General features: G+C 39.6%; 1 protein-coding gene, 2 long non-coding RNA genes and 1 pseudogene across 3 annotated transcripts in view, besides 2 other annotated features; 3 read left to right on the forward strand and 1 right to left on the reverse strand.

Moving 5' to 3' along the window:
- Nucleotides 1-26,641, forward strand: part of EPHA1-AS1 (EPHA1 antisense RNA 1) — a 115,637-nt gene that overhangs the window by 63,984 nt on the left and 25,012 nt on the right. The window lies entirely within an intron of this gene.
- Nucleotides 297-1,496: an enhancer, noted in NCBI's record as "P300/CBP strongly-dependent group 1 enhancer chr7:143169186-143170385 (GRCh37/hg19 assembly coordinates)". NCBI's record gives its function as "activates an origin of replication core promoter dependent on BRD2, BRD4, P300/CBP, MED14 and CDK7 cofactors, with strong dependence on P300/CBP, by STARR-seq in HCT116 cells {active_cell/tissue: HCT116}" and the evidence as "EXISTENCE:reporter gene assay evidence [ECO:0000049][PMID:35650434]".
- On the forward strand, nt 6,077-7,000 carry TAS2R41 (taste 2 receptor member 41). Its single transcript, NM_176883.2, has one exon. The coding sequence runs from the start codon at nt 6,077-6,079 to the stop codon at nt 6,998-7,000; it is 924 nt and encodes a 307-aa protein (NP_795364.2).
- On the reverse strand, nt 16,666-17,613 carry OR2R1P (olfactory receptor family 2 subfamily R member 1, pseudogene; annotated as a pseudogene).
- Nucleotides 20,180-20,474: a silencer, noted in NCBI's record as "tiled region #6558; HepG2 Repressive non-DNase unmatched - State 24:Quies". NCBI's record gives its function as "represses a minimal TATA promoter and a strong SV40 promoter by Sharpr-MPRA in HepG2 cells {active_cell/tissue: HepG2}" and the evidence as "EXISTENCE:reporter gene assay evidence [ECO:0000049][PMID:27701403]".
- Nucleotides 21,181-24,976, forward strand: LOC105375547 (uncharacterized). Its single transcript, XR_928075.3, has 2 exons — nt 21,181-23,600; nt 24,170-24,976. It is a non-coding gene; the product is annotated as an uncharacterized LOC105375547 (long non-coding RNA).

The raw sequence follows: 26,641 nt of genomic DNA on the forward strand, positions 1-26,641 counted from the left end.
CACCAAAGCCAGTTTTTAGAGTTTAGAAAAGGTTACTGCTCCTTCAAGTGTGCAGTCATCAACCTGAGGCTAAAAGGAACATAAAAAACCAAGGAAACATGACATCACAAAAGAAACACAATAAATTTCCAGTAACCAACCTCAAATAATTGGATATATACAACCTACCTGACAGAGAATTCAAAATAATTATTTGAAAGAAGCTCAGTGAGCCACAAGATAACACAGACAATGCAACAATATCAGGAAAATAACACATAAACAAGTTCAAAAAAGATCCAGGAATCATAAAAAAGAACCATACAAGAATTCTAGAGCTGAAGAATATAATTAATGAAATGAAAAATGCAATGGACAGCCTCAACAGCAGACGTAATTGTGGGAAAGAGAGTTTCTGGGGTGCCAGTTGAATTGGTCTCCCCTGTGTGAGACACCCATGGGCTGCCCGAGAAAAGTCTCCTTATTGCCTTCATGTCTTTATGCCCCGAGAGCATAACGCTCAGCGGCATTCCACAGGTTGCTCAGGGAGATAACACTCCCTTGAAGCAGTGGAGTATAATCAAACAGCTTGGCTCCTCCTGAAACCTGCTCCCACCAGTTTCAGTCCTGATAAGTTAAAGATCTTAAGTAGTTTAGACACACACCTTTGCTCAAGGAAATTCACAGAAGCCGCCACTGCTATACATCTTATCGAATGACTCACAAGTTCTCCTTCACTGATTCATCCTTTTCCTCATCCCTTCCTCCCCCTCCCATCTACCCTAAGAACAAAGAGCTTGTAAACCAATAAATTGGGTGGAGCCCGAGAGCTCTGGGCCGTGAGCAAGCCTCCAACGCTCCAGTCCCCTGGACCCACCTTTAAAACGCTTATTCTGTCTCTTTCTAACTCCTTTGTCTCTGCCGGACTCGGAGTACCCGCTGGGTAGTGTGGGGCTGGTTTCCCCAACACTTAATCAAGCAGAAATCTGCAAACTGGAAGACAGATCATTTGAAATTATCCAATCATAGAAGAAAATAGAAAAAAGGAATGAAAAAGAGTAAAGAAAACCTATGAGATTTATGGAACACCATCAGGTAAACAAATATATACACAATGGTAGTCTTGGTAGGAAAATAGAGAGAAAGAGAGAGGTGACAGAAAACATATTTAAGTAAATAATGGCTGAAAACACCCCAAATCTTGGGAGGGAAATAGACATCTGGATTCACAAAACTTGAAGAACACTAAAAAATTTCCACCCAGAGAAGACTACATGAAGACAAATTATAATCAAATTGTTAAAAGTCAAGGACAAAGAGAATTTTGAAAGAAGCAAGAGAAAAGCTATCATACTTAACAGTACACCCATAAAACTATCAACAATTTTCTTAGCAAAGGTCTTGCAAGCCAGAAGAGAGTTGGATGATATGTTCCATATATTGGAGAAAAATTCCAACTAAGAGTACTACATCCCACAAGACTATTTTGTTTTTTTTAAATGCAGAAGAGGTAAAGTCTTTCTCAGACAAATACAAACTGCGAAGGTTCATCACCACCAGATCTGCCTTACAATAAATGCTTAAAGGAGTTCTTCAAATTGAAATAAAAACCTGCTACACAGCAATGAAAAAATATATGAAAGCATAGATACCACCACTAAGGGCAAATATGTAGACAAATACAGAATAATGTAACACTGTAATAATGGTATAGAAATTACTTTTAATTCTAATATAATAGTTAAAAGATAAAAATTTGATAATGGATACACAATATAAAAAGAAGCAAACTGACTACAAAAGCACAAAGTGTGGGTGGGGGAAAGTAAAAATGTAGAATTTTAATATGCAATTGAAGTTAAGTTGTTAACATAAAATAGACAATTATATCTACAAGGTATTTTATGTAAACCTCGAGTTACCCACAAAGAAAAAAACCTATAAAAGATACACAAATATAAAGGGAACATAAAAATTGAAGAGTTAAAGGAAATCACTACAAAAATCATCAAATGACAAAGCAAGACAGCAAAAGAGGAAGAGAGGAACAAAACAACTGCAAAACAAATAACAATTATTGCTATATTTGATATTATTGCAAAAGGGTCCTCAGCTACCAATAATTACTTTAAATAAAAATGGATTAAACTACCCAATCGAAAGGCAAAGAGTGGCAAATAAATTAAAAACAACAAGATCCAGAGATATGCTGTCTGTAAGAGATCACTTTAAGACACACGTAAGATGAAACTGAAGGGATAGAAAAGATTTTCATGCAAATAGTAAACAAAAGAAATCAGGAGTAGTTATACCCAACAAAATAGAATTTAACTAAAAAACTGTCTCTAGAGACAAATAAGTCATTACATAATAATAAAAGGGCCAACTCAACAGGAAGATAAGACAATGATAAAAATATATGTGCCCAACTTGAGAATATATAAATATACAAAACAAATATTGACAGTTCAGACAATATTGACAGCAATATAATAATAGTAGGAGACTTCAATAACTGACTTAACATAATGAATAGAACATTCAGACAAAAATGAATAAGCAGTTTACCCGAACAACACTGCAGACTAAGTGGACCTTTTCACCCAATAGCAGCAGAACACCCATTCTTCTCAAGGGCACATGCAACATTCTCCAGGATAGATCCCGTCCTAGGTCACAAAATAAGCCTTAACACATTTAAGGAGATTGAAATTATTCCAACTATCTGGTCTGACCACAAAAATTAAACTAGAAGTCATTAACAGTAAGACAACAAAAACATTCAGAAATACATGGAAACTAAACACATTTTGAATAATCATTGAATCAAAGAATCAAAAGGTAATTTGAGAAGGATTTCAAGACAAATGAAAACAAAAACACTACATACCAGCACTTATAGGAATGCAGTACTAGAGGGAAATTTGTAGTGATAAATACATTAAAAGAAGAAAGATCTCAAATAAACAACCTAATTTTACACCTCAAGGAAGTAGGAAAAGAGCATAAAACATAAAACACTGATGAAAGAAATTGAAGAGGACACAAATAAATGGAAAGATATCTTATGTTCATGGAATGGAAAAATAAATATTGTCAAAATATCCAAATTATCCAAATCTACAGATTTCATGTAACTTCTATAAAAATTCCAATGTCACTCTTCACAGAAATAGAAAGAAAATCCTAAAATTCATGTGGAATCACAAAGGACCCTGAATAACTAAAGCCATCTTGACCAAAAAGAACACAGCTGTATGTATCACACTACTGTATTTCAAAATATATTACAAAATGATAGCAATCAAAACAGCATGGTTCTGGCAAAAAAACAGACACATTGACCAATGGAGTAGGATTGAAAGCCCGTGTATAAAACTACACTTCTGTGGTCAATTGATTTTTGACAAAGTGCCAAGAATACACAATGGGGAAAAGATAGTCTCCTCAATAAATGAGGTTGGGAAAACTGGGTATCCACATGCAGAAGAATGAAATTTCATCCTCTTCTTACACTACATGCAAAGTTAAATCAAAATAGATTAAATATTTAAATGCAAGACCTGAAATCATAAAACTCTTAGAAGGACACATAGGAAAAGAGCTTCTTGACACTGGTTTGGGTAATGACTTATAGAAAACTACACCTAAAGCACAGGCAAAAATTCAGCTAAATAAACATAGACAAATGGGATTGCATCAAAATAAAAAGCTGCAAAGCCAAGAAAACAACCAGCAGAATGGAAATTGGGAGAAAATATTTGTAAACAACATATCTAATAGGTGTTAATTTCCAAAATATATAAGGAACTTTGGCTGGGTGCCCTGGCTCACGCCTGTAATCTTGACATTTTGGGAGGCCAAGGCAGAAAGATTGCATGAGCCCAGTAGTTTGAGACTAGCCTGAGCAACATAGTGAGACTCTGTCTGTACAAAAAATAAAAAAAATTAACCGGGTGTGGCAGTGCATGCCTTTAGTCCCAGATACCTGGAAGGCTGAGGTGGGGAAGATTGGATCATCCTTCCTACCTTGAGGCTCCAGTGAGCTGTAATGGTGCCACTGCGCTCCAGCCTGGGTGGCAGAGTGAGACCCCGTCTGAAATAAATAAATACAAATAATAAAAATACAAGGAACTTATTCAACTGTAGTGCAGAAATAAACAAAAAACATAAATAACCTGATTTTAAAATGGGCAAAGGACCTGAATAACATCTCTCAAAAGAAGACAAAAATCGTTCATGAAAATATGTTTAATATCACAAATCACCTGAGAAATGCAAATCAAAACCACAATGAGGTATCATCTTACATGTGTTAGAATGGCTGTTACCAAAAAGATGAAGGATAACAAGTGTTGGCAAAAATACAGAGAAAAGCAGCTCTTTCAGTCTGTTGACAGGAATATAAATTATGGAAAACACTATAAAGATTTCTCAGAAAATTAAAAACAGACCTACCTTATCCAGTAATTCCACTTTTAGGTGTATATGCAAAGGAAATGAAACTAGTATTTTGAAGAGATATCTGCACTCCCATGTTCATTGAAAATTATTCACAATAGCCAAGACATGGAAACAATCTAAAAGCCCATTAACAGATGAATGAACAAAGAAAATGTGGTGTGCATACACAATGGAATATGATTCAGTCTTAGAAAAGGCGATTCTGCCATTTGCAACAACGTAGATGGAACTGGAGGACATTATGCTATGTGAAATGCTCCAGAGACAGAAATACATATATTGTACGATCTCACTTACATGTGGAATCTGAAAAAACAAACCCACAGAAGTAGAGAGTAGATTGGTGGTTGCCAGGGTTCTGGAAGGGGAAATGGGGAGATATTGGTCAAGGGGTATGAAGTTTCAGTTATGCTAAGTGAACATGCTTTGGAAACCTAAGGTATGGTAGTATGAGTATAGTAAACAATACTGCACTGTATACTTGAACTTTCATGAGAGGGTAGATCTTAAGTGTTCTCACTACACATGAAGAAATTGAAAACAGGAATTATGTGAGGTGATAGATATATTTTAAAAGAAAATATTTTTACTTTCAACATGGTCTCATAGGGACTTCTTTTTGATGTTGGTGTTAGACAGGACTCACATATGCCTCGGGTATCTCAGGGTGGCAGACAGACTGTAAAGTGGCCCTGCCTGTCCCTCAACCCTGGTGTTGGGCCTTTGTGTAACCTCCTTCTTTTGAGTGTTGTTGGTGACAGTGACTTGCTTCTAGCCAATAGACTATGGCAAAGGTGATAGGCTGTCACTCCAATGATTGTGTTATGTTATTTAAGACCCCATCTTGTTAGCAGACTCCCTTTAGAGACTGCTGACTTGACGTGAGTGGCCATGCTGAAACAGCTTACCTGGCAGAGACTGTGAGAGGCCTCTAGGACCAGAGAGCAGTCTCCCACCAACACCCAGGAAGAAACAGGGGCTCTCAGTCCTGCTTCGGAAGGCCCCTCAACCACATGATAATGAATTCTCTCACTGGAAATACAAAACCCGTTTACACCATTATCATTTACATCTCAGGATTCATGGAGGATCTAAGTAGAGATCTGGATGGAGAGGTAGACGAAGTGTTTGATTTTGAAGCGATTTGTGGGCAAAGGCAGTAAGGTAAGCATGGATGTGTAACAGGGAAGTACTGAGACAGAATTCTTTGATGTCACTATTTTTCCTGTGTATCTCCTATACTTGTCTCTATATTTAAAGTCTTAAGAATGTTCTGATGGGAAGAGGAGTGTTCATACGGCCTGAGGATGGAACTCAGTCACAGAGACCCAGAAAAATCATAGACATTGATACTAACCATGGCAGCATGCAGGAAAACTGGACAAGGCAAATTAGGGTAATTTGCAGGCCTAGTGGTAACTGACACTAGGATAAATTTGCATCCTGTCTGAGCCAAGAGCACACCTCTCCTCTTTAGCCTGAGCATCCTCCTCTCTAAGTGAGCTCTGGTTCAGATGCAGAGCCTGACCACTCTTTAGCACTCCTAGGAAAGATTAAAAACAGGACTGTGGCTAGGGGCAGGGAGGAGGCCAGGGACCAAGGCACTCAAGTGGGGACTGCAGGAGGGGTCAGAATGCAAGCAGCACTGACGGCCTTCTTCGTGTTGCTCTTTAGCCTGCTGAGTCTTCTGGGGATTGCAGCGAATGGCTTCATTGTGCTGGTGCTGGGCAGGGAGTGGCTGCGATATGGCAGGTTGCTGCCCTTGGATATGATCCTCATTAGCTTGGGTGCCTCCCGCTTCTGCCTGCAGTTGGTTGGGACGGTGCACAACTTCTACTACTCTGCCCAGAAGGTCGAGTACTCTGGGGGTCTCGGCCGACAGTTCTTCCATCTACACTGGCACTTCCTGAACTCAGCCACCTTCTGGTTTTGCAGCTGGCTCAGTGTCCTGTTCTGTGTGAAGATTGCTAACATCACACACTCCACCTTCCTGTGGCTGAAGTGGAGGTTCCCAGGGTGGGTGCCCTGGCTCCTGTTGGGCTCTGTCCTGATCTCCTTCATCATAACCCTGCTGTTTTTTTGGGTGAACTACCCTGTATATCAAGAATTTTTAATTAGAAAATTTTCTGGGAACATGACCTACAAGTGGAATACAAGGATAGAAACATACTATTTCCCATCCCTGAAACTGGTCATCTGGTCAATTCCTTTTTCTGTTTTTCTGGTCTCAATTATGCTGTTAATTAATTCTCTGAGGAGGCATACTCAGAGAATGCAGCACAACGGGCACAGCCTGCAGGACCCCAGCACCCAGGCTCACACCAGAGCTCTGAAGTCCCTCATCTCCTTCCTCATTCTTTATGCTCTGTCCTTTCTGTCCCTGATCATTGATGCCGCAAAATTTATCTCCATGCAGAACGACTTTTACTGGCCATGGCAAATTGCAGTCTACCTGTGCATATCTGTCCATCCCTTCATCCTCATCTTCAGCAACCTCAAGCTTCGAAGCGTGTTCTCGCAGCTCCTGTTGTTGGCAAGGGGCTTCTGGGTGGCCTAGATGGCATGGTTTCCTTATCTAGACCCCCGGAAAAGAAAGGTGAGGATGGCAGAGCTGTGGCCCACTGACATGGAGGTGTTTTCATAGGTAGATGAATACTGGGTACTGTTATGGGGCTCCTCCTCTGGGAAGCGGAGGAGACAAGGAAATCTGGGAACTCTCTGAGCATGCTTCCCTTCTTTGGAATGTTATAAAGATGCAGTCCCATGGATCCCAGAGAGCCAGTATTGCCCAGAAGTTCAGAATATGTTAATATGATGTCGTGCTACTCCTTACGTTTGTACCCCTTTGTTATCTGGAAGGCTTCGATTAAAAGTGTTGATTAACTGTGCCATCGCATCTCCACTGCCTTTCAGAAAGTTAAGAGCAAATATTTGCCTCTATGGCTGAACTGAGATGTGGATAGTGAAGCGACAGCCTTCTTGAGGACAAATGTCATGGTTACTACGAGAGCCCCAAGGGACAGGCAGTTGTGGCAGGCAGTGGCCTGGGCTGTGAGTTCTGATTGCCCTTTACTGCATGAAGATACTTTGTCTCCACACAAACTTGGATAATCTGGTTTTAATTTTATTAAGTTTACTGGAAGGTTTCTTTACACCACCCAGTTTCTTTTCTCATTAACATTTCTGACTTCAATTTTCTCTTCTCTGAAGTCTGAGTAGTAGCCAGACTTTTTTCTTGTTTATCATTCCTTTAGAAAAAGACACATTGTGACTTTCTTGTCTTCCTCAAGCATATGTCACAGAGTCACATCTGCATTGAATAAACATGTACTTTTCAATCTGAAAAACAGACTCAGGAATTTCACTGGACTGGGAGTGGTGACGTCCGTAATCCCAACACTTTGGGAAGCTGAGTCAGGCAGACTGCTCGAGCTCAGGAGTTCAAGAGCAGCCTGGGCAAGATAGCGAGACCTCCTCTCCACTAAAAATTCAAAAAAATCAGCCAGGTGTGGTGGTGTGCACCTGTGGTCCCAGCTACTCGTGAGTCTGAGGTGGGAGGATCACTTGAGCTCAGGAGATAGAGGCTGCGGTGAGCTGTGATCACTGTACTCCAGCCTGGGCAACAGAGTGAGACCGTCTTAAAAAAAATTCATTAGTTTGTATCTAAAAACTACTTAAATATTGTTTTAAAAAGAACCACCCTGTTCAAAATTTTACGTTTAAATACTGTTTTAAAAATAACTTGCTCCAATTACTATGCAAATGATTTTAGAAATACTTTTGGAAAACATTTTATTTAGAGATGAGTGCCTCTAAGATAGCTTAAACGTTTTTGCTAAAGGGCATCAATGTGCAAATTTCAGAGACAAGCTTGCAGCTGAATCCCTGATAGGGAGAAATTGTAATTTCCTCTAAGAGTGAAGACTTTGATTAGGGGATGTACTGATGAGTGGATGAACACTCATGAACAATAATCTTTGGGCACCTGGCTCTACATTTTTAATTTAAGCATTTATTTTTAAAAATACCTAATATATTTTCATGGCTGAAAATTCAAAACCTATTGAAGAGTATGTATAGAAAATCTCCCTCTTATCTGTTCCGTCCTGAGGCATTCTTACCAGTTTTATGTCTATCCTTGTAGAGATATTTTATTCTATCAGAAAGCCACTAATACCTAATGAACCAGTCAACTAACTTATGCACTGGTATATTCTATACTAGTACCTAACTAGCTACCAATCAAATAACTTATAATGTCTCCATCTTTCCATACAATGGTTGCAGAATACACACATTGTCCTGCCCCTTGCTCTTTTCACCTTATAACATATCTTGGAGAGCTATGTAAGTGGATATGCATAGTATTTCCTCACTTGTAAAATTTTTTGCACTGATGTGCCACAATTTCTTTAACTAGCCATGTGTTTGTGGTCATTTAGGTTACTTCCTGTTTTTTGTTGTTATAATAATGCTATAATGAATAATCTTCTGCATATGTAATTTTCCACATGTGCAAACTAACTATGGGAAAAGTCTCATGAAATGGAATTACTGAGTTGAATGGAATGTGCATTTCTAATTCTGACAGATATCACCCTTTATTGGTTTGCATCAATTTACTTTCCCACCAGCAATTTATTAGAGAACTTTTTTCACACTTTCTGTTTTTGCCAACCTGTTAGGTTAAAAAACATTAGCTGTCATTTGCATGACTCTTACTATGAGTGAGTGTTTATAATTATTTTATATGTTTAGAGCCATTTATGTTTATTTACTGTGGACAGTCTATCTTTTTTGGGTTTGGCTTTTGGCCTTTTTCTTATTGGTTTTGAGGAACTCTTTATATCTTAGAGGAATTAGCTCTTTATTTGTGATATAAGCAGCAAAGCAATTCCCTACTCCCAGTGTTTTTTATTTTATTTTTTCTGAATTCTAATGTTAGTTTTAAAAACTCTTTTATTTTGAAATAACGATAGACTCACATGAAGTTGTAAAAATAGCATAAATCTTCATCCAGCTTCCCCCAGTGGTGACATTTTATATAGCTGTAGTATGATAACAAAACTAGAAAACTGACATTGCTACATTACTGTTAGTCTACAGAACTTATTCAATTTTTACTATTTTAAAAACTTACATTTGTGTGTTTGTGTGTGTAGTTCTATTCAATTTTATCCTAGTTAGAGATTTGTGTAATTATAATCAAGATACAGAACTATTCCATCAACATAAAAGAACTCTTTCATGCTACCTCTTTACATTTGTACCTACTTCCTTTACCATATGATGTGGTTTGGCTCTGTGTCTTCACCCAAATTTCGTCTCAAATTGTAATCCCCATGCATTAAGAGAGGGACCTTATGGAAGGTCCTCAAGAAATGAGGAAACTGAGGCTCAGAGAGCAAGGGTGATTGACTCAGGGTTATTGGCTAGTTAGGGGCAGGACTGGAACTGATCTGGAATCTGAGGATCACAAGACCCATTTTCTTCCTGCGACATCCCACTGGGTGATCACTCATGGGCATGGGGAATGTGTCACAGTGGCTAGTGAGGGTAGCACAGGACAGGTTTAACTTATGGGTGGGGAGGAGGATGTCAACAAAGGCTTAGTGTTTGGGACGTCATTCCAGGGGGTCCAGTGGGAGGCCTTGGACTGACACCAGACTTTGTGGGAAACCAGGTTGAAGAGTGCTTGGCAATGTCCAGTGGCCTGGAGGTCCAGTTCACCAAATCAGTTTTCCTCTTTTAGTTTTATCTGCAAAAGGGAAACACCCACCCCATAGTTTTAGTAAGGGTATGAATCTCACACACCTGGACTTTCTACTTTTTCTGCAGCCAGGAGCTAGAGCTGGAAAAAAATCTCTACCAAGTCAGACTCCTTTGCTTCTCTTTTCTCACTTCTAACTAACTGAAAGGTAGAGAGGGCGTTTTCTCTTTTTATTGTATGTTTTTCTAGTTTCTAAACTGAGCCTGATATCTAGAGTTGGGGGACTAACTGACTGACTGAACATCACACTGAGTAGTGGCTTCTTAAAATTCATCCTCTCATCTAGGTGGTGGAGGAAGCCAAAGAACTATAATTTGTGAGGGAAACAGGGGTGGGAATCCTCAGAAAATCATTTCCCTTATTGGCCCCCACCTTATCTGTTCCCAGGGCTTGTATTCCTTTGTGCTGAGATCTCATTCTGAAAGAAGTGTCAGCCAGCACATTCTATAGAACATATATTTTAAAAGTTTATTCTTATTTTTATGAAAGTAGTAGAATCTTATTTTAAAAAATTATAAACAGTACACAAAAATTTAAGGAAAATAAAATGCCTCCATCCTTCTTCATTCTTCTCTCCATTATATATTTTACCAGAAGTAATCAATGTTAATATTAGGTCGGTAATATATAGTACAATCATCCATATATTGAAATATACTTTATGGGATTGTATACAATTTTTTTCATTTATGGTTCATGATTTTATGTGTACCTCAAGAAATCTTTGCCATCCTAAGATCACAAAGATTTTCTTGTTTTTCTAGAAGCTTTATGGTTTTACCTCTTACATTTAGGTTTCTTATCCATTTCATGTTAATTTTGTATATGAAGTGAGGTAAGGATTGAGGTTCATTTTCCCCCTTTATGAATATACAAATGTTTTAGCACTGTTTGTTGAAAAGACATACCACAAATTTTGACAGACAGTATTGTGTTTTAATTTTTATTTAGTTCAAAAGATTTTCCAATTTCCCTTTTCATTTTTGCTTTGGCCAATGGGTTAACCAAACAAGTAGTGTTTAATATCTAAATATTTGTGAGATCTTCCAGTTATCTTTCTGGCATTAATTTCAAATTTAATTCTATTGTGATTAGAGGACATAGTCTGCATGATTTCAGTCTTTTAAAATTTCTTGAGATTTGCTTCATGGCCCACTGGATTATCAGTCCTGATGAATGCTCCATGTGCACTTGAAATGGATGTGTATTCTGCTGACGTTGGATGGAGTGTTCTATAAATGTCAGCTAGGTCCTGTTGGTTGATAGCATTGTTCAAGTCTTCTATATCCTCTGTATCCTTACGGATTTTCTGTCTACTTGTTCATTTACTGAGAGGCAAGTGTTGAATTATTCTACTCGAATTGTGTATTTTTTTATTTTTAATTTTAGACAGAATCTGGCTCTGACATGTAGGCTATGGTGCGTGGCACAATCACAGCTCACTGCAACCTCTGCCCCCCAGGCTCAAGCAATCCTCCCACCTCAGCCTTTGGAGTAGCTGGGACCACAGGCACGCACCACCATGCTGGGCTAATTTTTTAATATTTTGTAGAGGCAGTGTCTCACTATGTTGCCCAGGCTGGTTTCGAACTCTTAAGCTCAAGAGATACACCTGCTTTGGCCTCCGAAAGTGCTGGGATCACAGGCATGAGCCATGGGGCCTGGCCTGATACCTTTTTAAATTTTTGTCCTTTTTTTGCTGCATATATTTTGAAGCTCTGCTGTTAGATGCTTATACATTCAGGAGGTCAAGCTTACTATTATTTTATTTTACAGTGCCTAAACTATTGTTAATTCCATCTAGTGAAATTTAAATTTTACGTATTTTATTTTTCATCTTTACAAGTCTTGTTTAGTTTCTTCTGTTTCTAGGCCTGTGTTTGTTGACCAATCTGTTCCAGGTTATGAATCTTATTTTCCTGATTTTTTAAGGTCTAGTAATTTTTTACTGAATGTTGTAAATTAGAAATCTTAAGTTATTTAATACTTGGTTTTGTTGTTTTCTATTGAAGCATTTTAGACTTTTTCTGACAGTTACTTGTAAATTAGTTTGATGCTTTTGATTTTTTTAAAAGCAAATTTAGGGTAGGTCTATGGTAGTCTTTTTCTAGGGCTACTAATTTTGCTCAACTTCTAAGACATAGCATCTTTGCAACTCATATGGAGTGCTTTGTATATTCAGTAATGTTTCTTCACTCTGGCCAAAGAGTGCTAAAATGAATCCTGGCCCCGTAGGAGTTCTGGGAATTGTTTGTTTTATAGCACTCCAGCATTTTTTCTTTCTTTGGAGATTGTTTTTTTCTCAGTCTTACAGGGTTTCACACTACTCACATACGGATTGGTGTTTAGCCAAGGACTCAAAGACTGATTTCTGGAACCATTTTCCTGTGTAGCTTATTTTTCCCTCTAATCTCCGCATCCTTCACTGAGCAAGATTTCCAGGTCTGTTTAAATTCTCTCTTTGTGCTACAATCTGGATATTGCCTCCTGGCAGAAAATCTGGGTGATTGTAAGAATCACCTCATTATTTTTCCTTCTCACAGTAATCACAGTTTTGTGCTGTTTTTTTCATATCTGAAAACAATGTTTTTAAACTGTTTTCCAGTCTTCTAGTTGCTTGTGGTAGCTGGGTAATTCTGTCCTGTTACTTCTTCACGTCTGGGAGTAGAAGGCCTGTATTATTTTTCAAAATCGATTATTCTATATTCTTAGAGAGTTCTTTTACTTTATCTTTCAACCATCTTACTGATTTTTTAAAAAAGATTTCAGCAATAAGAACGTCCTGTTTAGCCGGGCGCGGTAGCTCATGCCTGTAATCCCAGCGCTTTGGGAGGCTGAGGTGGGTGGATCACGAGGTCAGGAGATCGAGACCATCCTGGCCAACACGGTGAAACCCTGTCTCTACTAAAAATACAAAAAATTAGCCGGGTGCAGTGGCGGGCGCCTGTAGTCCCAGCTACTCAGGAGGCTGAGGCAGGAGAATGGCGTGAACTCGGGAGGCGGAGCTTGCAGTGAGCTGAGATCTAGCCACTGCACTCTAGCCTGGGTGACAGAGTGAGAGTCTGTCTCAAAAAAAAAAAAAAAAAAAAGTAAAAGAAATACCCAAGACCAACTCTTGCCTCTTCTACCTTCTGGTAGTATGGTCTTTCTCAGAATAATTAAAAGCACCATGTTATAGTATCACCCCTCTTCTCTTATTCTTGACTGCTCTTTTAGTCTCTTGAGAATTGCTTTCTCCAGTTGTTTATGGGATACAGTCTGCAGAGCAATGTCTCAGCTGCCTCAAAAAGCAGAAGTCCAAAGCAGAAGGACAAGTGTTATGTTCTTTGATTAGTAATATCCTTGGGTTTCTGTGAATTATTTGGATATTAGGAAAAAGTCCTCTCAGGATATAGTAATTCACTGGATGATTATATTTTAAACATTTTTACAAGTGTTTATCTTTCTTGGTGTTATCACATAGGTTGTATTAGAGTTAAGATCTTTCTGGGGGATCAGATGCCATTTTAACTAAAAGTCAGAGCATGAATTTTTTTTAAGATTATTTTTGAGTCAGGGTCTAGCTATGCAGCCCTGGCTCAAGCTCAGTGGCATGACCGCAGCTGACTGTAGTTTGAACTCCCGAGTCAGGCAGTCCCCCTTCTCAGTCTCCTGAGTAGCTGGGACTGCAAGTGCACTACCACACCCGGCTAATTTTTTTTTTTTAACTAAGTCTCGCTCTGTCGTCAGGCTGGAGTGCAATGGCGCAATCTCAGGTCACTGCAATCTCTGCCTCCTGGGTTCAAGTCATTCTCATGCCTCAGCCTCTTGAGGAGCTGGGACCACAGGCATGTGCCACCACACCCAGCTAATTTTTGTATTTTTAGTAAAGACAGGGTTTCACCATGTTGGCCAGGATGGTCTCGATCTCTTGACCTCATAATCCATCCACCATAGCCACCCAGCAGGCTAATTTTAAAAATTTTTATTTTTAGAGACAGGGTCTTGCTATGGCGCTATGGTGTTCAAGCTAGTCTAAGGCTTTTGATAAGTATAATTAAAGTATCCACTGTCAATATTTTCTTTGTGAATTAAATAGCTTAATATAGTTTATTATTTTAGTTTGTATTTCTTTGTTGCTGAGACTAAATATTTTTTCATATGCTAAATGTTATAGAACAAGTTCTACCTTTGTATTTATTTTACTTCTCCATTTTTCTGTTTGCATGTTCTCCATTTTCCTATTGATTGGTAAGTGCCCTTTAAATTAACGTATAGTGAAATTGACTTTTTGGGGTGTATTAGTTCATTTTCATGCTGCTGATAAAGACATACCCGAGACTGGGAAGAAAAAGAGGTTTAATTGGACCTACAGTTCCACATGGCTGGGGAAGCCTCAGAATCATGGCAGGAGGCGAAAGGCACTTCTTACATGGCAGCAGCAAAAAATGAGGAAGAAGTAAAAGCAGAAACCCCTGATAAACCCATCAGATCTTGTGAGACTTATTAACTACCATGAGAATAGCATGAGAAAGACCAGCCACAATCAACAGAACTGAAATAGTAAGTATTGGTGAGGCTGTGAAGAAATTGGAATCCTTGTTCATTGCTGGTTCTTCGCTGGTGGGAATGTAAAATGGTTCAGCTGTGGTGGAGAACAGTTTGGCAGTTTCTTAAAAAAGTTGAACTTACAATTATCATATGACCCAGTGCTTCCACTCCTGGGTAAATATTCAAAAGAATTGAAAACAGGTATTCAAACAAAAATTTGTACATGAATGTTCATAGTAGCACTATTCACAATAGCAAAAAGGTAGAAACAATTCAAATGTCCGCTATCTGATGATCGAATAAACAAATGTGTTATATCCACACAATGGAATATTATTCAACTATAAAAAGAAGCGAAGCACTACTACATACTACAATATGGAAAGACCTTAAAAACATTATGCTAAGTGAGAAGTTAGACACAAAAGGCCACATACTGCATGATTCCCTTTATATGAAATGTCCCAAACTGGCAAATCCATAGAGACAGAAACCAGGTTAGTGGTGGTCAGGACTGCTTACTGAGTGTGGGGTATCCTTTTGGGGTGTTGAACGTGTTTTGGGGCAGATAGAGATGAGGTTGCACAACACTGTGGATTCATTGACTAGATGTCAATGAATTATCTGCTTTAAAATGGCAAAAACTGTGAATCATGTGATATGTGAGCCTTACCTCAATTAAAAAGTTTTAATAGCAGTTTTAAAGGGTGCTCTTCATTTCCTGTTTTTCAGCCCTTTAGCTTTGTTGCAACAGATTGAGTAAAAGTTTGAACTGTTTTCAGTTTATGTTTTTTCGTTGTTGTTGTTTCTTTGCTTGTTTTGGTTTGTTTGTTTTCTTTTGTGGTCAAGACAAACCAGAGATTCATAATATTTAGTTAAGGAGATGTTTTAGTCTGATTTTTAAAAGATTATTTTAAACATTTTTCAGAATAAAATCATCATGGCTTTGCTTTATGATCTAGGATTTTAGAGCTCAAAAATTTGTGTATTAAAAGAGTGGAACAAAACTATCCCCAATGAGGAAGCCGGATTCTTTCTTTGCTGAATCCCATGGCTCACTCTAATCGTGCATAGCATGGTCTCCCAGTCAGGATGAGCTCTGAGCACAGCCCTCAATGTTCACAAGAGGATATTCTTAGACCTGATTGCATACAAGATGTTTGTTTGAGGTCCCGCATATCTGACTTTCTGGCCAGCAATTTGCCACCACTGCAAATTTGAAAGGGAAACAAGCAGAGGGACGCTCATGTGACTGGCACACAGCCCAGTCACACTCATCAGAGCTGAGAGATCATTACTGTGACTTTGGCTCCAAACCCATGGGTGAATCCCCCACCCTAGTGAGCTGGGCTGGACCATGTGTGAGTTACTAGGGTGGCCTTTGCACCTCTTACCTAAGGCCTGTTTGATCCTATGGGCACAGCGAATTTTGTAACTTAAAGCTTTTTTCCCTCCTTTTCTCACTTACTACAGAAACATATATTTAAATATTTTTACCAAGAAATAGACTTTCTTGGAATACATTTTGTGCACTGCCCTGACTTCTAATTTAATCTTTCTTCCTAATTCATATACACTGGTATATCTTTTCTCCTCCCTCCCCCTTTCTTTCATTTAAGAAAATGAATATATTTCATTTCACTTTCTGTAGGGTGCATGTATTTTTAAGTTGTTGTAATTCACATTGGGAATAAGGCATGGGCCAAAGATAAAGTCCGGATAAAATCCATTTTTCTATTACCTCAAAAGAGAGTAGTACAAATTGTGGTCCTCCCACCTGTTCCCTTACACACACACATACACATGCACACACACACAGATGCACACACATACACACACATGCGTACACACGTTATACTGGAGAGCACAGTCCAATGCCCACTGTTTTCAGAGTGAGGCCTTCTTGTTACTCAAACCACTCTCTAATGTTTTAATTCAGAGCTCCTCATCAGAGCTCGACTCAGAGCTGCCTTCACATCCTTGTTCCGCAGACTGTAGATGAAAGGATTCAACATGGGGGTCACCACAGCATAAGAGAGTACCATCACCTTTTCCTGCTCAGCTGAGGCCATGGAGCGAGGCTGCATGTAGGTAAAGAGGGCCATCCCATAGGATATGGAGACCACAGTGAGGTGGGAGGCACAGGTCCCAAAGGCCTTGCGGTGCCCCTGGGTGGAGTGGATCTGCAGGACGGCAACTACAATGAGGGTGTAGGACAGCGAGACCAGGCAGCAGGGCACCAGCAGCACCACCACACTGGAGGCCACTATGACCACCTGATTGAAGGTGATGTCCACGCAGGCCGACCTGACCAGTGCCAGTGTCTCACAGGCCACATGGTTCAGCACGTTGTGCCCACAGGTGGGCAGGTGCATGGTCAGTGCCGTCTCCATAGCAGAATTAGCCAGGCCCACTAGCCAAGAGACAGCTGCCAGTGCCATGCAGAGCCTTGGGCTCATCACTGCTATGTAACACAGGGGGTCGCAAACAGCCACGTAGCGGTCATAGGCCATTGCGGCCAGCAACAAAAACTCGGTCCCTCCGAGGGCCAGGGAGAAAAAGAGCTGGGTCCCACATCGGGCAAAGGAGATGGTCTTTCTTTGCTGGTGCAGTGCACCAGCATCTGAGGGACCCTGCTGGAGGTGTAGCAGATGTCCACAAGTGAGAGGTTGCAGAGGAAGAAATACATGGGCAGGTGGAGTCTCACGTCCAGCCAGATCAGGAGCAGGATGAGCCCATTGCCCAGCAGGGTCAGCAGGTAGGCAGCCCCAAATAAGATAAAGAGTCCAGCCTGGGTCTGCCTGTCACTGGAGAGACCCATTAGGATGAACTCACTCACCCAGGTTATGTTGTCCCTTCCCAGTTGGGACATTGAACCTCACTTCTTCAATCTAGGTGGTTAGGAGGGAATGCAAAGGTCTTGGAGAAAAGGACATTTGGTTTCTGACACTAAACCAAATTCTGAGAGGTTCTGAAGGACAAAGTCCCTGTTTTGGCCATCCTTTCACGTCGAGGACCGATCACAGTTACAGTTGTGTAGGAGGTAATCTATCAATGTAGAAGGAATGATAGAGAAGAAAGGATGAAAGAAGCAAAGAAAAACTAAGGAAAGACAATAGGAAAATGGAAAAGGAGGGAAGGAATGTGGAAGATATGAAAGAAAGGAAGGATTCTTCACTGTGGGGAAGCAGTGGGTAAAGTATTGTAATCAGACACTTGAGAACTGTAGGCATGTCCTAGGATTTCTCAGCTCATTTCTTAACTCTGGATTGAGCTGCTCTTCCTGCTTCTTCTAGGGTCCACTAAGTCCAGACAGGAATCCTCTCACATCCTTTTCATTTCTCCCACAAGTCCAGATAAAGCTGAAGTCCTTGAAACCAATATCTACTAATCCCCTGCTGGTGTGCCAGGGTCTGTGCCAGGCATTGGTTACCTGCTGGTAAGTAAGAAAGATAGAAACACGGGCCCTTGCTTTCTTGATTCTTATAATTTATCTAGGGACACAGAGATTACATCAATAATTACAAATAATTAATTAAGTATAATTGTGCTAAGTGCTATGAAGGAGAAGAACAAGGTTAGTATTTGGCTAATTAAATTTGGAGCTTTGTAATTAAATTATGACAGTAGTTATGCCTTACTCCTTAATAACATGCAATTTATATAGTGAGTTTCAGGCATTTATTTAGATGTTTAAACAAATGATTAACAAAGTAATGTTGTGATGCAAGCGTTCGAAAACCAATGATACTCATGTATTACTACTGAGTATGAGGTGATAGAAACCCACAGAATCTTTTCAAACAGAGTGAATTCTCCCTTGTCAGCCAAGGTTGTACCAGTTCATCTCCCTTCTACCATGCTGACTGGTCCTCTTGAAAAATAAAATTAAGTGCCATCACTTTTTCTTAATATAAATATAATCTCCAGATGTATTTCCTGCTCTTAAAAAATTTAATTAACAAACTGATTCATTTATTAAAACATTATTGAGTATATCAGGCACTATGCTTTCAACCAACCTCTAGGAAATTCCACCTTTCAATGTTAGGGATTTGTGTTTAGAAAATCAGCAGTGCCAGAGGATCAAATAATAAATTTTTAAAAATGGATTTTGGTCAAATCTGAGAATCTAATGAGAGCATGTTTGTGCAAGCCACTACAGCCAGAGGACAAATGCCATACATCTGCATTAAGAAAATGAGAGCAGAACCACAGAATAAAATGCAAGAAAGCTGAAATGCATAATTCAATTTATGTTTCTTCTGGCTGGAAACATTGGTGGAGGGAGAGAGCAGAGAGGACCTGGATGGAGCTGGCATCTTGTCTCCATTCAGCCCTGGTCCTGCAGTGGCCAGAAGGTGTCACTGTAGAAACTGCTAAGAATAGAAACTGGCCTTGGGTTCTCAAGGTTGGAGATCAGGTTCTAGGGTCAGAGCCAGGGGCTGGAATTTTGACTGCTGCCCTAGGGAGATGGTTCCCTTGTATCAGCAGAAGTAGATCAATGCTGATCTACTATGATCAGTATGCTGCTTGTTACTATAGACAGAATCTTCACCTTCAGAGTTGGCCTCAAGGATTGAGATACCCTCCAGAAGGTAACCACAACTGTTTAAAATGAAAAGAAATATAGGGGCTAAGTGTTTCATTCCTTTCATTTTATAAACAAGGAAACCAAGGAATAGGGCTACGGTGATTTGCCCAGGTCTCAGATCTACCTGGAGACTAAGCTGGAACAAGGGTCAGGGCTGCCCTGCACATCTAGCTCTACCCAAGCCCATGAGTGAAGGGTGGGAAGGAGTTCTGAAAAGCTGTAGTCTAGGAAGGGAGGCACCTGAGGAACCTCAGATGGGAAGCTCAGGACAGCCATCTATCCTTGAAGAGAAAGACATGTGGTGTGGGGGTAAAGCTTTAAATAAGTCAAGGGGTCTGAGTTTGAGTTTGCCTCTTCCATTAGTCTGCTATGTGCAACTTACTAGACCTCTATGAGCCTCAGTTTCTTCATTTGAAATGCATGAATAATAATAATGCTTATCTCACAACATTTTAAGTAAGATCAGATGAACAAATGAATATGAATGTGCTTTGTAAAGTATAAGTAAACGTAAGTGGCTGTTACTATGCTCAACAAGTCCAAATTACAGAGGTAAAGTCTACCCAGTGCCATGGGGACAAGAAACAATAGAATATGTGCTATAAACGTCAGAAAGTTTTCAGAATGTGGGTCATAAAGCCCCTTGAAATGCATTATATTGCTTAAACCACCTAATTACAGAGACCCTGTTAAATATAGTGAAGAATCAAAGTAGAGGGTTCACCTGTACTCAGTGAGTAGGTAGTACATGCTCTGCACACAGTGTGAACTTAGTACTATTTTATTCCAATACATTTTGGTGATGTTTTTAGATGATGAAAAACTATTTTTATTGATAGATGGCCTCGTTCTTAGCTTTTTGGGACAGAGAATTTTATTCCACTTTTCTCACCTTGGTAAACATGTACTGAGCACTGTTCAGCGCCTGGTCCAGTGGAAGGTATTGGGATAACAAATCAATCAGTCTGGTCTCCTGCTTAGGAACTCAGCCTGCAGGGAGAATAGAAAGAGTGAGTCATCATGACCTTATCAGGGGAGTTTTCAGAGGAAGCTTGATGAAGACATCTGGTAAGAGGAGACATAGAGTCTGGCTATGTAATCAGCTCAGCAGATCTGTAGAAATAATAAAGTAGAAACAAAAAACAAAACAAAACAAAAACAAGAAATAGTGCTCTTGCCTCTTAAAAAAGTAGATGAGGTTTAAGGTATGCTAAGATTCATATAAGGAGGCCTGGGCTTCAAGCTGTATCAGGAAACCATCTACGTATCCATTGGGTACATTGCTACATTTTAAAGCCACAGTTTCTTCATCTACAGAATGAGCAAGTTAGATTAGGTACATTAAGATTTCTTCCAGCTCTAAAGATTTGTGATAAGTGAATATACATAATCTGTGGTTTAAAGTAGTATAGAAGGGAAAAATAGATCCTTTGGTGTTTGATTGCTCTAAGCATGCATAGCTAGTGGGACTGTAGGCAATGAGATATGAATTAGTGGGTTTTGGGTTCAAAGGATTCAGATCTCACACATAGCTGATTGGGGAGGTGTCAATGAACGGGACTAATTGACTCAAAACCAGAGACTAAGGAAACGGGGAAGAGGACTACACCAGTAGAAATGGCAAAACTACTTGGGCCAAGGCTGAAAGGCTGGTAGCCTTCTGATACGTAAGCCTCCTTCCTAAGCACTGCAAAAGAAACTACCATCAGAGTGAACAGGCAACGTACAGAATGGGAGAAAGTTTTTGCAATCTACTCATCTGACAAAGGGCTAATATCCAGAATCTATAATGAACTCAAACAAATTTACAAGAAAAAAACAAACAACCCCATCAAAAAGTGGGCGAAGGATATGAACAGACACTTCTCACCATCTTCTTTATCAAGAAAAGATGAAGGTCTATGTCTATCTTTGGTTCTTATACCAATCCAAGCCCTTCTCCATTCCTTCTTATCTCCAACAGAATAGAAATGCCTCAAGGCCAAGAAAAGAGTCATCTCCCTTTTGACTTCCATTCTTTAGTTTTTAAAATGTATATCTACATATACTGAGCACTTCAGTTTATGCTGTTGATTTGGTGACTGACAAGAACTAGGACTCTATCAAGTGGCTTGAAAACACTGATTTATATCATCTAGGTCACGGGAGGAATTCAAAGAGCCTCCAACTACAACCAGTGAGAAAAACAGTGGAGGATCACAAAACAGTCCCGGGTGCTCCCAGGAATTTGGGCTTTATCCTCCTACCACCTCCTCTTAGCCTTCCTTGTGGGTGACTCACCAAGGCTGAGTGCTCACTTCATGCACAGGACATTTTGAATGTGGAGATGTACATCTCTTAGAAAGTCCTTGATACAGTTGTTCATCCTCTTCTTCGTGATGCAGGCTTTACTTTGTCAGTATTAGCTGATAACTTTTCAGAATTTAGGCATCCCCAGAGGGAAATTACTTGCTCTTGGTGTGTTTCTTACTCATTCTTCCCCACAGCTACTTCTCTGCAACCACAGCTCCCTCCTCTACTAAGTTCCCTGTGGAATACATATTCTAAAAACATTTTATTTCAACTTTTAATTGTCCTTCTAGTTCCTAGCATAATGAGCCCTTCTGTAACTCTTTTATATCTTTTACTGCCCTTCAATGCTGTGGCATCACTGAGGACTTTTAGTAGAAGTTGGGATTCAGAAACATTTACTTTTCTGACCTGGTGAGAAGGGACTGAAAGTAATTGAGATAGGAAAGAGAAACTAAAATTTTAGAACCTGGTCTCCTTCCTAAAGGAAGAAAATGAAAGCACCTTCACCCCTCCTCCCACACACCTAGTTTTAGTGACAGTGACATCTAGTTTTAGAGTGGTGAGGACACATCGCACATTAGAATCATCACATCCATGGCCTGGGAGCCATTGAGAAGTCTCAAGTTCACAGTCATTAAAATAGTTCTGCAGGTTCTTTGATGGTCTCCCACATCACATTCCTGTTGTGTTTCCTTTGCATATTTTCATATTACTAGAAGTTTTTTCTTTATCAGCTTTCCTAATACTGATCTCCCGGTTCTTGGCCATCTTCCACAAAGTTTTAATTTCTTCACTGGAATTACTAGAAGGAGCAGAGGAAACAATGGGTCAGGATGAGGTTTTATTCCCAATATTTAACTATTTATTTCTATAGTAATAGAACATGAGTCTTTGGTAAAATGGGGAGAAAAAAGAGAGACATCAGTGTGTAACCCACTAAATTTTTTTTATAACAATTGGCCAATATTGCAAGATAAAGGTTTACTTACCTGGAAGATTTGTCATTGTAATGACAATGGACTAGGGAACTGTTGTTTAACTTCATGCTCTTCCCCTTTGGGCAAGACCTGAAGAATCTTGGGTTTATCTTTGCTGCTTCCACTGCCCAGGTAAGCTCAGGACCTCACAGGGCCTGAAGCTTTCCCCACCTCAAGGTCTGTGGATGGAGAAAACTGCTAGAACTTCTGACTGAGAGTTGTAGCCAAAGGTTAAGGAGGAGAGCAGCAGTAAAAAGAAAACCAAGGGCACCATGAGGGGGAAGAAGAAGAAAATGACATCTGAGAGGTGGGACCCCTGATGCACTTCAAAGGCAGACTCGGTATGAGCTGACACAGATGACTCCAGTGTAAAGGAAAAGAACTGTTGGGAACCATCCTCCACACTACCTCCTACTCTCATCTAATAAGAATGTTTCCCTGCTGGTAAAAAAGAAAAATGCATCCTTCTTACTTTTCCAAGCACTAAGGTTACAGAAAATATGTAACTAGATTTTTTTTTTTACAAAGTAGGTTAGAAAATAGTAGGAAATATAATATATATACAGTTGGATGTATATAAAGATTGAAAAGTAGAAAAAGAACAGGCAAGATGACCATAAAATGTCAGTGGGTTAATCTCTGGGTGATAGGATTATAGATATTTTTGTTTTCTTATTTTTAGCTTATCAATATTGATATGGCTTGAATTTGTGTCCCTGCCCAAATCTCATGTCAAACTGTAATCCCCAGTGTTGGAGGAGGGGCCTGGTGGGAGGTGATTGGATCATGGGAGCAGATTTCCCTCTTGTTGTTTTCCAATAGTGAGTTAAGTTCTCACAAGATCTGGTTATTTGAAAGTGTGTGGCACCTCCCCGCTGTCTCTCTTCCTCCTGCTCTGGCCGTGTAAGATGTGCCTGCTTCCACTTCGCCTTCCACCATGATTATAAGTTTCCTGAGGCCTCCTCTCCATGCTTCCTGAACAGTCTGTGGAACTGTGAGTCAATTAAACCTCTTTTCTTAATAAATTACCCAGTCTCAGGTAGTTCTTTATAACAATGAGAGAACAAACTGTTACAAATATTTTTAAATGTTTATAATAAACACATATTTTTTCTCTCATAGGAATCCAAATGAAATTTAAAAAATTCACATATCTGATATAGACGTATCGCATTGAGATAGTGATATTAGGAAATGAATTTGCTGTCTTAATGCCTGGCACTACTGAATAGCCTTTGGGCAACATAAGTGAGCATTCAAGGAAAGATACAATTAAAACTGTATCTCAGCAAAGTAGATATAACTATAGGTTTTCGACTATTTATACCATAAAAAATAAATCTGGAAATATTCTATGGTGGCAAACACCCTGGACTAGAGGCAGGACAATGGGTTTTACTCCGGCTTTGGTACAAATTGCTCTATGACTTTTGACAAGTCACCTAATCTCCCTGGGTCTTAGTTTCTTTGTTTGTGAAACCAAATGGTGGAATTGGACCTCAAGGTCCTGCAGAAGTCTGTGTTTTTCAGTGTGTGCATTACAACATTTTCCTTTCATTCTAGGTACTAGATTCTGAGGTCTGAGACTAAAGTCATTCCATCATGAGTTCCAAACTGGACTTGAGAGGGGAAGAATCATTTCCTTTGAGATTGACCAATACCAGGAGTTTCACTAAAGAAGGCAATGAAAGACCCACAGCCTTGGACATAATTGATTTCCTGTGATATCTGTGTGGGCCCAGGCATGCTGCTCACCTGGGTCTTTCCCCTCTTTCACTCCTTTGGAACTGCCCCACCACTAACCACTTTCCTACTCTCTCCTTCCCCACCCCAGTATCTCCTTGCCTCAAGAGTTTCCTGTTACTAGCAATAATTTAGTTCACTCCCAGGGAACTACTATTTCTGGTTCTCAGTTACTAACCTTTCCATTCAGTTCTTTCCATTCCATTTTTACCAGAATTAACGTTTCCTCATCTTTCCCAGTGAATGTAAAAGGTACCTTCTGGGAAGCATTTTACCGGAACTGATGACTGCTATGCTTGACAGCAGCTTCAACAGCCTCGGATACAACTCATCATGAATTAGCTCTGGCATGACTGAGTTAGAATACTGTTCTGTTTCCTATCTCTACATGTAGGAAAAATTTAAAGTGGCATTTCTATGCTTTGGTCTTTTCTCATAAATGACTTAGGGGAAAACACTTAATGAGGATGAGTAACTAAAATTCAATGAATACTAAAAGCTTTATAAGAATCATCTAATTGAAACTTTACATAATTTCCTTATTATGTATTAACATTGAACGGGCATTATGCATTCCATTTCTAGAAAAGAAGTCTTTCCTTAATAAATTACAAGTGCAAACATGAAGTCCAGGACAATTTTTACTTCAAGATCAACTTGTCTATATGCTAGGATAATGAATTTGAATACTCTTTACTGATGTTCCCTGAAGACGTAGCTATTTTGTTTTCTATAATGATATTATTTTCTTGAGTCTCCATTCTGTTGGGTACTGTAGAAAGAAGACAAAAAGCAAACAATATAATATACCAATTAAAGGTATCTTAGTTTTTTTACAGTATAAATGGTCTCTGTTAACTTAAAATGATCTTTCCAGGTAAATATTTAATTAATTTGAAGTTCTACCTTATATCAGAGTGGTATATTTCTTTTTCTTCCTTATCAACAGGGCTTCTGGGCATAAGACAAAACCTGATAGTACTGACTTGTGGGGCTTTGAATGGATATGTAGAATCACTCTTGTTTTGTGCTGGTCCTGGTGCTGGCTTCTGCAGCTGGACAACCACTCGAATCTTTGCTTATTCACGTGGCAGGTTTCTGTTGAGACATAGTTTATGTGGATCCAACCTGTGTCATCCACTGTTGGAGGCTGTGGCCAAGGAACCCATGGACTGTTTGTTGTCTTGGCTTTGTCAAGGCTTGGTGGCCATCTTCTTGTTGAAATGGTCCCACTTCTGGTTTTCCAATGCTGTGATTCCCCCAAACACACACACATCACCTCCCAGACATGACTGATTTCTTCTGGAGCCCTGAGTTGGGAAGTCCATTCTGTAGCTCTCAGTGATATGGCCACATTTTCTCCACCAAGCTGATCCCCTCTGGCATGTTCTTTGGTTGAGCTCCCAGCTGCTTCCTGTATCTGCACCTCCCATTCGAGACAAACAGGAACTTGAGGCATGAATTCCATATTCTAGGGAGCCAGGAGCATGCTCAGATTGGCTTGCCTGCCATCCTCTTTCACTGCTGCTTTTCTATCGTCCCTCAACATCTTTGGAGTTTCTAGGTCACCCTGAACAACAGTCTCTTGGTAGGGCTCTAAATGGGGATCAGGAAAGTATTTCCACCTTTGGCCTCTTCTTATCCTATCTCTTCATCCTCAGGGCCTCAGTCCCTTGGAGGGCTGTTTAGAACACATATATTTGAATGTCTGCTTCTTCTACCTTTCTCTTCCTTTATTTATTCCCAAGTCTGTGTCAGAAAGAGAAGGTTTTGCCCTCTCATGAAATGGAAGATTTCCCTTATGTCATATCCTGAGTTCCCTAGTTTATCAAAATCTCAGTGTTCAAATCCAAAGGTTGTGGGTTTTGATGTAGGTGCCTCAGGGCTTCAGAAATTTGGAATTAATAAAGAAAATATAGATTGATCTGTTTTTCTCTAAGTGTTATCCTTGTGCCTGCAATTCTCCATATGGTGTCCATCTTGGACAGAGAATTGGGCATCTCTTCTCTTCATTATTCAGCTCGTCCTGCTGAAACGCAGCCAGGACAGGGCACACCGCAGCACCAAGCAGCTACAAGGTAATCAGATTCTGAGCACTAAACCCAAGGCACATGGAATATTTTCCTTTTCTTTTTCTTATTTTATTTTATTTTATTTTATTTTATTTTATTTTATTTTTTTGAGATAGAGTCTTACTCTGTCAACCAGGCTGGAATGCAGTGATACAATATTGGCTCACTGCAGCCTCCACCTCCTGGGTTCAAGTGATTTTCCTGCCTCAGCCTCCAAGTA

This window comes from Homo sapiens, chromosome 7 (genome assembly GCF_000001405.40).
Source record: "Homo sapiens chromosome 7, GRCh38.p14 Primary Assembly".
In the NCBI taxonomy this organism is placed as follows: Eukaryota; Metazoa; Chordata; class Mammalia; order Primates; family Hominidae; genus Homo; species Homo sapiens.